Here is a 14,858-nt window from a genome sequence, read left to right on the forward strand (position 1 = left end):
ACCAGGACATAAAGTTATGTTTGACTCTTCGTAATATCCTGATAGATAACAAACCTTAGTCTTTAGCCTGAACATGTCAATTGTGCTCCATCTGATAGGTTAAAAGACATGTGCCTTTGGTTTATATGTTATAATCTGAAATTAAATATGTGTAAGGTCAAGCTTATCATGTTCTTTCTCAACCTTGTTCTCTGCAGAAATAAATGCTTCCAGTTCTCCCAATCATTATGTGTGGATTAATCTTCAATTTTTTCTTTTCTAGCTCCTGGCAATTTGGTGCTAATTTCTTTTTCAATCTTCCATAAAAATCTTTCTTTCAGCTTTGTTCCACCTCTCCATCCCTACTGTCAATGGTTAAATACCGTGAGCTCTCACACCTGTTTCCCATAACAGCATCTTACACTCCTTTTCATTTCCATCTTCTACTCCTAATCCATGAATACTGCTGCCAGATTAAATCTCCTGAGATTTCTTTCAGTAATATAAATTTTGGTTGGAGAGAATTCTGAATTTTATTTCTTACCCCAAATCACTTGGCCTATCTCTCAAGCCTCTTCATGAATGGGCCTTACATTCCCACATAACGTATTCTTACTGATCTACCAACACCAGCTCTTAGTTTCATTTAGACCAAATTTCTTTGTTGTCCTTGAATGCCTTCTTGCCAAAGTCTTCATTCATATTGATTCACTTTGTTGCCACGACCCATGTAGATTTCACCCATCCTTCAAATCAGTTCTAACCCTTTCCTCAGCTACTCCAGGTCATGTGGGCATCTTCCATCTTTTAGCTCCCAAGTGCTTTTATAGTAAGTATCAGTTTGACTTTACCTAGTTAAATTTATTAGGGATTTACCCCCCTCACGTTCTATACTCTACATTCCATGGAAAATGCCAAGTCTTTGATTTATTTTGTAGTTCTTATAGCAGTTAGCATAGAACTGGACACAGAAGTCCTTACACATAGCAGTTAGCATAGAACTGGGTATAGAAGTTCTTACACATACTTATCATTCAATTCTATCAGTACCACATGACATTATCAACTAACAGTTCATCTACAACATGCTTTCAGAGAAATGTGAGGGTCATATTGGAATAGCCACTAACTGCCGAGGACCCACACCTCTTTTTGTCAAATACCACTAAAAATCTCAGTAGATACTACTGCCAGTTACGCTACTTAAAACACACCTTTGAGAATCCCACTCTCTTCCTTTAAAACCTTCATTTACTCCTCATTGTTTACATAATTGAATCCTCCTCCAGTCTTCAAAATCTCTCACAATATGGCTGCAAATTCCTTTGTCAGCTTTATCAATTTATATATACTTATCACAATGCAAGAATTCCTCTGGCCGCTCCTACCATCATGACCTCTGGCCATAATATGATTTATCTCCACGCTGGCAGAAACTAACCAAGCCCCATTCGACCTAACAGAAAGGGAAGCAGTTAGTCTTGGGCTTTAACGCTGAATATGCTGCAGGCCCATTTGCCCTTCAATACTCAAAATATATTCTAAATAAGTGAGACTAACTTCTGAAAATACATTGTGTTTCCCCTTCCCCATGTGTTGATACAAACTGTTCTCTTACCTATAACAATCCAGCCAGTCAAAAATCCTATCTATCCTTCAAGCTCATTAGGACTATCAATTTATCTCTGAAGTTGCTCTGAATTTTCTCACAACATGTAATTTTTTTCCTTGAAATTCTGTGATACATGATTTTTACTCTCTTAAAGTACATTTTAATATATCTTATAATTTTTATTTATAATAGCCATTGGATGTCTCAATCATAAAGTTATACAAAGTTCTATATATCCTTCAAACTTTGTTATGTTCAAAATTCAAAATCTTCTTTCAAAGATGTTCCAAACCCTTTTGACTTCCAAGGTCAGTTAAAGGCATTTTTTTCCATAAAGTCACTCTGCAGGGAACAAGTCTTAAAATTCTGTCTTTCTCACCCACAACATCAAATCAATTTTCGTGAACTTTTCTTTCCATTTTGTTTTTTAAGTAATAGGTAACTGGGACTGCAAGTTGTGCTTTTGTCAAACCTATAAGGAAGACAAGTTAACTTCTGTAGAAAAGTGAGAAGAAAATTTGTCAATTAACAAGAACTGGATCTAATCTTTTATGAGGTAGGGAATAATTTAGGAAAGGAAGTCTGTATTTTTAAATATGTGTCTTTCTTGTTAAAAATGAATACATGCCCTAACAACCTTTAAGCTTGAAATCTAAGTTGCATTTATCCAGGTTTAGCTCTTACAGCACCCAGCAGAGTGGTATGCTTCTTAAGTAGTCAATACATTTCTGTTTACCTTTGACTCAAGGCTGGAGGCCAGATTTCCCAATTCTTTGACAGCTGGCTTAGAAAGAGCAACTAAACCTACACACTCACAATTTTTAAAAATATAATTTTGCTCTTCCATCTAGCACATGACTTTTACTTAGATGATCATAAGAAATCTCAAAGAATAACTGCTACTGATAAAGATGGTAGATTGAACCTATGCATCTACTTCCACTCCCTTTTAAAATGTTACTGGAAAATATTTCATAAAATGGCATAAACCCACAGAGATGGAGAACACAGGAGAGGAGGTGACAGCATTAACCAATTTATCAGGACCAAGAACACTGAGCCTGTGGCCAGCAATGGGGAATGCTGAGGACCAATCTGATTTACACAATAGAATAACCAAAAGGGTAAGGAGCTAGTGACACCAGGTACCTCTGGAAGTGAGAGGGAAAGAAAAAGGGCACTAATTAACAAGCAGTCAGATTCTTAGGTCCCTCTCTAGGCTAGCTACTGCTTCTCTTCTACCCTGGCAGAATGCTGGAGGTTTATTCCCTACAGCAGATAAACAGAGGAACTGGCCTGGGAGAAATGAGACATAGTTAAGGACACAGGTATATAATAAAAATAGATGGAATCAATTTATATATATACACACACACACACACACACACACACACACACACACACACACACACAAGATTCTGAGACCTCTAGCTATTTTTCCCAATCAACTCCTAGAAAAAAGCAAATTAGAGCATGCTATCTCCTTCAAGACAGGAGAATGGAGAATCCTTTGCTTTGGAATATGAACAGCTCAGATTAAGTAGTCTTGCTATACTTTCTGTGATACTGTGAAATAGTAAGAAATAAATATCTGTTCTCTGCCCCTGGTTCCCAAGATGGAGCTCCCAATACTCTTGTAGATAGGAGTGCCAGGAGAATCTTTTGTTCTAACATTTGGTCTTTGACCCCAGTTCCAGAGACAGAGCTCCTAAGACCTTTGTAATTTCCTGAGTGACAGAAACATCTTTTGTTCTAATGAGGTGACCCTTGGTGGGCTCCTGGATAGCCTTGGGATGGGCAATGGTTGCCAGGGAAACCAACCTTGTGATTAGAGGGTTGGAACTTATAGCCCTATCCCCTAGCTACCTGGAAATGGAAAAGTGCTGAAAGTTTAGTTGCTCACCAATGGCCAATGACATAATCAATCACACCTACATAATGAAGCCTCCATGAAAACCCGAACGGACAGGGTTCAGAGAGCTTCCAGATCGCTGATCACATGGAGCTGCCTGGAGGATGGTGCGCTGAGAGACAGCCTGGAAGCTCTGTGCCGCCTTCCTACATACATTGCCCTATGCATCTCTGCATCTGGCTGTTCATCTGTATCCTAAACTATATCCTTTATGAATAAACCAGTAAATGTAAGTAAAGTGTTTCCCAGAGTCTGTGAGCTGTTCTAGCAAATTAACAGAACGCAAGAAAAAGGTCGTGGGAATGCTTGATTTATGGCCAGTTAGTCAGAAGTATAGGTAACAACCTACTACTTGTGGTTGGCATCTGAAGTGGTGGCAGTCTTGTAGCACTGAACCTTTAATCTGTGGTATCAGAATTAAATTGAATAGTAAGACAGACAGTTGGTGTCTGCTGAGGAATTGCTTGGTGTGTGGGAAAAACCTCACACATCTGGTGTCACAAGTGTTGTGTTTAGTGGTGTGCAAGCATAGAGAAAAAAATAAATAGTTTATTTTTTCTTCAGATTCCCCTATAGTAAAACTCAGGGTCAAAAAGCCCCATCCACATACCTAGTGCTTACAATCAAATTCTTAGGCTCCCTGCTCTTAAATATTAGCATAATAACACAGATTACAAGAAATCTGAGGAACATTTCTAAAATGAAAGTTAGAGACCAAAACAAACAGTGAGGAAAATAGACTATGCATGGGAGAAGAAAATCAAAACAAACAAAAGCTATCAATATTCTTAGGGAGATTAGAGAATATATTACATTAAGGATGGGGTATTATAGCTTTAAATAAAAACAACATTTAAAGAACAAAAAAATAAGCTTTTAAACATTAAAAATGACATAAAAACAAGATTAGAAGCAAAATTGAGAAATTCTAGAAAGAACAAAATGAATTAGATCAAAATGAGGAGACAAAAGTTAAAAGTTAAGGAACATTTAAATAACAGAAATAAAGAAGAATTTATAGAGTAACAGAAATTCTAAAAGCAAAGTCAGAGGGGAGGTACACTAATGAAATAATTCAAGGCAACTTCCCACAACTCAAATTTCCAAACTGAGTATTATTCCTGTTCCAGCACAGTGGATAAAAACATACACACCCAAGATACACCTAAGAGTCACAATTCTAGGGGCAAAAAGAATATCCTATACACTTCCAAAGAAGAAATGGAGACATATGGAGAAAGTCATCACATACATTTAGTCAGGAATCAGAATGGCTTTGGGCTTTTCAACAGTACACCAAGCTACAAGGCAATGAAGCAATACTATCAACATCCAGAAGGAAAATCATTCCCAAAACAGAATTCTATGACCAGTTACAGAATCCATCAAATGTGAGGAAAGATTGAAGACATTTTCAGGTATGCAGTCTTCAAAAATTTACGCCCATGGGTTCTTTCTTAGAAATCTCTTGGAGAATGTGCTTCACAAAAATAAGAGTTAACAAAGGAAAACACTGGATCCAGGCAACAAGGACTCCCAACACAGAAAGAAGGTAAAGGGAACCCCAGTATTATGAGCACATGCTCCAATGTTAGCGTTATAATAGGCATAGCGAGAACCTGGTTCAGATTAGATCAAGTCAGAAGGCTCTGGAAAAGATTCTTCAGGAGGAAACTGACAAAATACTTCTTAGGTCTGAACATCTGGTTAACAGATTAGAAAACTGGCAATGAGTGTAGCGCTGAATTTGTGATAAGTACAGAGACTACTAAATAAATGAAACAAGACAATTATTCACTCAAGAGAAAAAATAAAAGTTGTACAGGAAAAGAAAGGTTTATTACCAGAGTTTATTACCTGACTTAGCTGTGTATTGGGCTTTTACAGTTATTATAATATAAACACTGGATATTGATCCAATCAGAATTGCAATGTAACAATATAGGAAGATGGAAGGAGGGAAAGAGAACATATATGTAATGGAGGGAAAGGGAGTAAACACAGTGAAATCTGCATATTCCAGAGTGGAAAGTCAATAAATAATACAAATATTAGTGGTGGTAGCAGTGAATCATGAAGTAGTAATGCAAACATACAATCAGAGACATAGAGGTAAATATCAAAAACAACATGGAAGGCTGTTTCTGTGTCAAACACTGAAGAACCATTTGAGAATATAAACCTTGACTAACATTTTAAAATATTACAAAATTAGCCTTTCTGCCAGTGGATGCCACCGAGGAAGCATCATTAAAGTCTCTCTTCCCCCTGCCATCATGTCTAAGTCAGAGTCTCCAAAAGGGCCTGAACAGCTGAGGAAGCTCTTATTGGAGGGTTGAGCTTGGAAACAACCGATGAGAGCCCGAGGATCCATTCTGAGCAATGGGGAATGCTCACGGACTGTGTGATAATGAGAGATCCAAACACCAAACATTCCAGGGGCTTTGGGTTTGTCTCATATGCCACTGTGGAGGAGGTGGATGCAGCCATGAATGCAAGGCCACACAAGGTGGATGAAGAGTTGTGGAACCAAAGAGAGCTGTCTAAGAAGATTCTCAAAGACCAGGTGCCCACTCAACTGTGAAAAAGACATTTGTTGCTGGCATTAAAGAAGACACAGAAGAACATCACCTAAGAGATTATTTTCAACAGTACAGAAAAATTGAAGAAAAGGGGCTTTGCCTTTGTAACCTTTGATGACCATGACTTTGTGGATAAGACTGTCATTCAGAAACACCATACTGTGAATGGCCACAACTGTGAAGTTAGGAAAGCCCTGTCAAACCAAGAGATGGCTAGTGCTTCATCCAGCCAAAGAGGACAAAGTGGTTCTGGAAACTTTGGTGGTGGTTGTGGAGACAGTTTCGGTGGGAATGACAACTTTGGTAGTGGAGGAAACTTCAGTGATCATGGTGGCTTTGGTGGCAGCTGTGGTGCTGATGGGTATGGCGGCAGTGGGAATGGCTATAATGATTTTGGTAATGATGGTGGTTATGGAGGAAGCGGCCCTGGTTATTCTGGAGGAAGCAGGGGCTATGGAAGTGGTGGACAGGGTTATGGAAACCAGGGCAGTGGCTATGGCAGGAGTGACAGCTATGACAGCTATAACAATGGAGGCAGAGGTGGCTTTGGTGGTGGTAGTGGAAGCAATTTTGGAGGTGGTGGAAGCTACAATGATTTTGGCAATTACAACAATCATCTTCGAATTTTGGAACCATGAAGGTAGGAAACTTTGGAGGCAGAAACTCTGGCTCCTATGGTGTTGGAGGCCAATACTTTGCCAAACCACGACACCAAGGTGGCTATGGTGGTTCCAGTAGCAGCGGTAGCTACGACAGTGGCAGAAGATTTTAATTACTGCCAGGAAACAAAGCTTAACAGGAGAGGAGAGCCAGAGAAGTTGACAGCGAAACTACAGGTTATAACAGATTTGTGAACTCAGTCAAGCACAGTGGTGGCAGGGCCTAGCTGCTACAAAGAAGACATGCTTTAGACAAATACTCATGTGTATGGGCAAAAGACTCAAGGACTGTATTTGTGATGAGTTTTATAACAGGTCATTTTAGTTTCTCTTCTGTGGAAAGTGTAAAGCATTCCAACAAAGGGTATCAATGTAGATGTTTTTTTGTGCCCATGCTGTTGATTGCTAAATGTAATAGTCTAATTGTCACGCTGAATAAATGTGTCTTTTTAAAAAACGTGTTGTGTAGTTAGTCTACTCTGAAGCCATCTTGGTAAATTTCCCCAACAGTGTGAAGTTAGAATTCCTTCAGGGTGATGCCAGGTTCTATTTGGAATTTATATACAACCTGCTTGTGTGGAGAAGCCATTGTCTTCAGAAACCTCTGTGCAGTTCAACTGATAGTTACTGTTGTGACCTGAAGTTCACCATGAAAAGGGATTACCCAAGCAAAATCGTGGAATTATTGGTTATAAAAATGATTGTTGGCACATCCTATGCAATATACCTAAATTGAATAATGGTACCAGATAAAATTATAGATGGGACTGAAGCTTGTATATCATCCATTATCATGTATAATCAATAAACTAATTCTCTTGAAAAAATTTACACAATTAGAATACTATTAATAAACAAGGAAGCTGTTCAAAGAATAGTTCTAAACCTTTAATAGTGCAATTTGTATTAAAATTTACCTTCTCTTTGGAAAATGAGAAAATGGTCTTAGGACATAAAGCCCCACAAAACATAAAACCATTATATAATCCATTATTTGCTTATAAGATTATAATTTAAAAATTCTACAGAAGTTTAAGAAACAATGGCTAAAATTATTTCATGGAGTAGTTAGTGTATAAGCCTTAAAGTTTTGTATTCTTTAACCCAGAAATTATATTCCTAGGAACTTAAGAAAATAACCAGAAATGTGCATGAAGATTTATTAGAAAAGATGACAATCATAATGTTATTTTTAATGATTTAGAAAAACCAATCTTTCCAACAACAGATAACTTATAATATCTTATATAATTATTTCATTATGCATATATCATAAGTAAATAATGATACCTTCATATGTAAAATACAAATATGATTAAAATCTACCCAGCCATTAATTAATGTCTTTTCAAAGTATACTTAATTATGTAGGAAAATGAACATGGCATGTTAGAAGAAAAAGGAGGCAAAATTGTATGTATAGTTGAATCCCATTATGTAAATAAAATATACACAAGTGTTTAACTACATAACCTTGTATATAAAACAAATTCTCAGGAAATAAATCATGAGGGAATATACCAATATGTGGATCATGTACACCATGGGGCAAGAAAGGTATGGTTTTTACTTGCTTTCTTTCACTTGATTATATTTTGAATTTTCAGCAATAGCTATTTTTATTTTTCTGCTGTTTTGTTTTTAAATTTTGCATTAAAAATTGTTTAATTTTATGGGTACATAGTAGGTATATATATATATATGGAGTATCAGTATCCATCTGCTCAAGTATTTATTCTTTATGTTAGAATCAGTCCAATTACACTTTTTTAGTTATTTAAAAATGTAAAATTAAATTATTATTGACTATAGGCCCCCTGTTGTGCTATCAAACACTAGGTCTTATTCATCCTTTCTTTATTTTTATTTTTTTGAGACAGGGTCTTACTCTGTCACCCAGGGTGGAGTATGGTGACACAATCATGGCTCATGGCAGCCTCGACTTCCTGGACTCAGGTGATCCTCACACCTCAGCCTCCTAAGTAGCTGGGATAGGCATGTGCCACCATGCTTGGCTAGTTTTTTCATATTTTTTGTAGTCGACAGTTTGCCACATTGCCCAGGCTGGTCTTGAACTCCTGGACTGAAGTGATTCACTCACCTTGGCCTCTCAAAAGTGCTGACATTAAAGGCATAAGCCATCCTGCTCAGCTTATTCATTCATTCCTTTTTTTTTTTTTTTGTACCCATTAACCATCTCCAACTCCCTGGTGGTCCCCCACTACCATTTCCAGCCTCTGGTAACCATCCTTTTAGTTTCTATTTCCATGAATTCAATTGTTTTGATTTTTAGATCCCACAAATAAGTGACAATGTGTGATGTTTGTATTTCTGTGCCTGGCTTATTTCACTTAACATAATCACCTCCAGTTCCATCCATGTTGCTGCAAATGACAGAATCTCATTCTTTTTAATGGCTGAACAGTACTCCATAGTGTGTAAGCAGCACATTTTCTTTATCCATTCATATGTTGATGGACACTTGGGTTGCTTCCAAATCTTGGCTATTGTGAACAGTGTTGCAACAAACATGGGAGTGCAGATATACCTTTGATACACTGATTTCCTTTCTTTTGGGTATATATCTAGCAGTGAGATTGCTGGATCATATAGTAGCTCTATTTTTTAGTTTTTTGAGGAGCCTCCAAACACTTCTCCAGAGTAGTTGTACTAATTTACATTCCCATAGACAGCATATGAGGGTTCCCTTTTCTCCACATCCTCATCAATATTTATTGCCTATCTTTTGGATAAAAGCCATTTTAACTGGTGTGAGAGATATCTCATTGTAGTTTTGATTTGCATTTCTCTGGTGATCAATGATGTTGAACACCTTTTCCTATGTCTGTTTGACACTTGTGTGTCTTCTTTTGAGAACTGTCCATTCAATTCTTTTGTCCATTTTTGAATTGGATCATTAGATTTTTTTCCTATAGAGTTGTATAAGCTCCTTCTATATTCTAGCTATAAATCTTTTATCAGATGTGTAGTCTGCAAATATTTTGTCCCATTCTGTGGGTTGTCTCTGCACTTTGTTGATTGTTTCCTTCGCTGTGCAGCTTTTTAACTTGATGCAATCCCATCTGTCCACTATTGCTTTGGTTGCCTGGTTGGGGGGTGGTATTACTCAAGAAGTCTTTGCCCAGACCCGTGTCCTGGAGAAGTTCCCCAATGTGTTCTTGTAGGAGTTTCATAATTTGAGGTGTTAGATTTAAGTCTTTAATCCATTTTGATTTGACTGTTGTATAAGGTGAGAGAGAGGGATCAAGTTTTATTTTTCTGCATATAGATGTCTAGTTTTCCCTACATAATTTATTGAAGAGATTGTTTTTCCCCAATGTATGTTCTTGGCATCTTTGTCAAAAATGAATTTGTTACAGGTGTGTAGATTTGTTTCTGGGTTCTCTATCCTGTTCCATTGGTCTGTGTGTCTGTTTTTAGGCCAGTACCATGCTATTTTGGTTACTATAGCTCTGTAGCAGAGTTTGAAGTCAGGTAATGCAATCCCTCCAGTTTTGTTCTTTTTGCTATTCTGGGTCTTTTGGGATTCCATATAAATTTTAGGATTTTTTTTTTACTATTGTTGTGAAAAATGTCATTGGTATTTTGATAGAAATTGCAGTGAATCTGCAGATTGCTTTAGGTAGTATGGACATTTTAATAACATTGATTCTTCCAATCCATGAACATAGAATGTCTTCATTTTTTAATGTCCACTTCAATTTTTTCATCAGTGTTTTATAGTTTTCTTTGTAGACATCTTTCATTTCTTTGGTCAATTCCTGGGTATTTAATTTTATTTGTGGCTATTGTAAATGGGATTACTTTTTTGATTTCTTTTTCAGATTGTTCACTGTTGGCATATAGACATGCTATTGATTTTTGTTTGTTGATTTTCTGTCCCACAACTTTACTGAACTTGTTTATCAGTTCTAATAGTTTTTTGTTGGTCTCTTTAGGTTTTTTGAAATATACAATCATATCCTAAGCAAGCAAGGATAATTTGACTTCTTTTCCAATTTGGATGCTCTATATCTTTCTCTTGTCTGATTGCTCTAGCTAAGACTTCCAGTACTATGTTGAATAACAGTGGTGAAATGGGCATCTTTGTCATGTTCCAGATCTAAGAGGAAAAGCTTTCAGTTTTTCCCCATTCAGTATGATACTCGCTGTGGATCTGTCATATAAGGCTTTTATTATGTTGAGGTATGTTCTTTCTATACCCAGTTTTTTGAGGGTTTTTATCATGAAGGGATGTTGAAGTTTATCAAATGTTGAGGTATGTTCTTTCTATACTAGGGGCTTGGTGTCACTGGAAGACTTTTCATTATTTTATTGTGTTGAATTTATTTTTCACGCACGTATCGCATGTTTTAATTTTATATTTAATACACACTATTTAAAAGAAAAAATAGTATGATAAATATTATATGCCATGAGGCAAGAGAAAAATGGCAGCTCAAAGAAAGCTTATTTAAGCAAGAAAACCTTACAGTAGTGAGCTTTGAATTGAGATTTTAAAGAGAGATTTAGCTGAGTGACAAAGGGATAATGCATGCAGAGAGGGAAGGATAACATGGAGGTAGGAGGAGATATTCACTCTGGGAAACCATCGATAGTTCAAAATCGATGAAGCATAGGGAGTATTCCATTGACTACCTATCTTATAAGCCTCATTTTCCCCCAAGGACAGATTGTGTCAGGGTAAGCAGTTTAAATTTTATTTTGAAGCATGGGGAGCAACTCCAAAGTTCACAAGGAAAGTGTAATATGATATGATTAGCTTTGCATTTCATATATATCATGATGGGACTGTGGACAATTGACTGACAAGGGGCAAGACAGGGAGGAGATACTTGTGCTAGATGACTGCTGCAATAATCTACAGCAGATGCTAATGTGGTGACTGTGAGGATAAAAAGGAGGAAATAGTAAGATATTAAGAAGGTAGAATTAAAAGGACTTAGGTTCTTAGGAACAAAGGAGTATATGAAATTATTTATTACAATTCATTTTTTTGGCTTGAACAACTGAGCAGACAATGGGGCCAGCCCTTCAGTGTCAGGAAACATAAAAATGGCATAGATAAGTTAAGAAAGAAATGCTTAGTTCTGCTGTTGAGGTTGAGGGGCTTGGGGACATTTAATAGATGACAGTGTGGAGGTACAGCTGAATACATATACATGTCTGAAACACAGGAAAATGTTGGAGAAATAGACTTAGTTGTTACAAGAATAAAACTGGTAGTTGAAGTCATGGGACTATTTCAGATCACCACAGGAGGAAGGCTATGGAGGGAACCACAATATATAAAAGGTGGAGTATACGTGGAAAGCCCCAAAGGAAAGCTAAGGAAGTACTCAGAAAGATTTCAGGAGTGAGTAGCCTCACAGAAGCCAATGGATGACAGTTTCAAGAAGCAACACACTCTTTCAGAGAAATCCAGAAAGACAGGAGCTGAAATGTGTCAGTGGTATTGAGAAACTAGAAGATTACATACTATATTAATGTGACAGAATTACCTCGTGCTTGTTTAAAGGTCAGATTTCTGGTCCCTCGGAGCGGAAATTTGTGGGGATGGAAAAAGAATTTATGCATTTTTTTTTAAAGAAGGTTTCCAGTGAATTACACCCTCAGGTCTGAAAACAACTATAGCAAATTGTAAACTCTTCAAGAACAAGTACCTTGTTTGTTTAACTCATCATGTATACTTAGTGTTCACCATAGCATCTGTCACATAATAGACCCTCAACAAATATTCAATAATTTAAAAATGAGATGAATGAATAGATGGAGAGATGAAAAGCTACTGAATGAAAGAACCAAAGAACTAACATCTGCCAAAATCTTGGCAAGATTATTGGAGCTTACATTGTAATGGTACAGGGTAGGTAATACACATGTAAACAGATGAACAAATAAAATAATTTGCAGAGATCTGCTTTAGCTAGGGTAGTCAGGGAAAGCTTCTTTGAGGAGGTAGCATTTGAGTTATCATTTAAATAATGAGAAGGTATTAACCAGTGATAGACTGTGGACAAAACATTTCAGGCAGGGGAAGGTCCTAATGAGAAAAAGGGAGAATAAAGTGTGTTTAAGTAATAAAGAGACCTACGTGGCTACAGCTAAGGGAATGAGACAGAGAATAGGAGAACGGTAGAAGATGAGCCTGAAAAGGTGGATAGGATGCTGATCGTACAGGGTCTCACAAGTTGTGACCTCATAGCTGTTTGGATGTTATTCTAATTGCAACAAGAACCCACTTACATTTTAAACAAAGTAGGGGTATGATATGATTTACACTTTAAAAATACCATTCTGACATCTATATAAATAACGGATCATGGCAGGGCAATGGTGGAAGTAAGCAGACCAGTTAGGGGTTGAGGTAGTATTCCAGACAAGAGGTGATTATGGTATGGTGGTAGTAGTAGAGACAGTGAGAAGTGCTTGGATTTATAATAGAATATATTCGGAAATACAGCAGACAAGATCATGTTAATGAGTTAGATATAGCAGGTGAGGGAAAGAGGAGTCTAAAGAATTTGGATTTTTGCCTGTAGGCAATGAGGACTCACTTAAAGTTTTGACTGAGTGACACAAATACAGTAGAATATATTAGCACAATTATCTTGAGGCAAGAAGCAACAGGAATTCTTTGGGAAATAAAATAGAAGGTAGAGGCAAATCTGGAGGTGTCAGTAATATTCTAGGCCTGAAGTAACACACATCTGAATTAAGGTGATGACAAAGAGAATGGCAAAAAATGATGGATATCAAGGCTACCATCGAGTAAGTAGAGATTGAATTTGTGGTATCTGTGGGCACTGAAGCTTAGCTGATAAATATGGACCAGAAAGACTTGGGAGTCATCAGAATACAGCTAATAGTTAAAGTCAAGTGAGCAACTGAGATTACCTAGAGAAAGTTTCTAGACGGAAAATGGAGCCTAAACTAGGAGTCAGAAAAAGAGTAGGACTATCCAGAATGAAAGGAGAAAAACTAGGAGAGTGTGGTTCCATGAATGTAAGTAGAAACATTTCAAGAAGATGTGTTTGTAACTGGTAAATAAGGACTAAGAAGTATCTATTGTGTTTGGTAAAATGGGTATCGTGAGTGATTTTGGTCAGCACTGTATCCGTTTAGAGGCAGAATGAGAAGACAGATTCCAGGTACTTGAGGCATCTCAGACATGAAGTAGTACTGACAATGAATACAGATAACACTTCTAAATATTTTGGTTTTGAAGCAAAGAAGAAAGAGAGGTAGTCAGAGAAGAACTAGGGTGGAGAAAGGGGGTCTTTAGGATGGGACAATCTGTATTATGTTTTGATATTGATATGAAGGAGACAAAGAGAGCGAGAATAAAGACAGTCGAGGGGGTGGGTTGACTGCAAGATCTCTGAGAAGACAGGTGTGAATGGGATCCAAGCACAGGTAGGGCCTCAGCCATATAAATAGGAAAGAACACTTCTCCCAGTTACAGTAAGCAAGGATAGGTGTAGGTAGAGGGAAATTAGTAGGGGTGGTGCTGGGGTTGGGAGGGAGGCAGGGTGATTTCCTATATCATGGCTTCTATTTCCTCTGTGAAGGAAGATGCATCATCCACTTAAAGTAAGGGGGAAGGTGAAGGGATTTTAAATTTGAGGAGAATGGAGAAGGAATAAAATTACCATTATGGAGAATGGGAGGAAAATAATTCTAGGGAAATACAAGATTGCCAGACCAAGTTGAGGAACTTGCTGAAGAATCATTGAATAAAATGATTTCTGCATTTTGTGTTTAAACATCCTATGATAATACCCAGGTTAACTCATAATCAACATCGTGGTGCTTCTCAAAACCTTACTTGCCTTTTCTACAAAGAATAGCAACACACTTAAAATCTAAACTTATGACTTCAAATTTCGGAAATAGCTCTTTTGGCCAATAACTTTGGCTAATGCCACAGTCTCTCACTTCTGAATTTCTCTTTCATTTCCATAAATTTATACAACATTTTGGTAGAAGCTAAATTTAGTCTGATGGCAGTGAACAGATGTAAACATGATATAATGGAGCTACAGAACAAATCACTGTGAGAAAAGTCCTATCACATAAGCATAGAAAGCAAC

General features: G+C 37.2%; 1 protein-coding gene and 1 pseudogene across 11 annotated transcripts in view; one reads left to right on the forward strand and one right to left on the reverse strand.

Moving 5' to 3' along the window:
* The window catches only part of DPH6 (diphthamine biosynthesis 6), a 401,189-nt gene that overhangs the window by 249,935 nt on the left and 136,396 nt on the right, over positions 1-14,858 (reverse strand). The gene's annotated exons all lie outside the window — the stretch shown is intronic.
* HNRNPA1P45 (heterogeneous nuclear ribonucleoprotein A1 pseudogene 45) lies at positions 5,719-6,955 on the forward strand (annotated as a pseudogene).

Source organism: Homo sapiens, chromosome 15 (assembly GCF_000001405.40).
Source record: "Homo sapiens chromosome 15, GRCh38.p14 Primary Assembly".
NCBI lineage: Eukaryota > Metazoa > Chordata > Mammalia > Primates > Hominidae > Homo > Homo sapiens.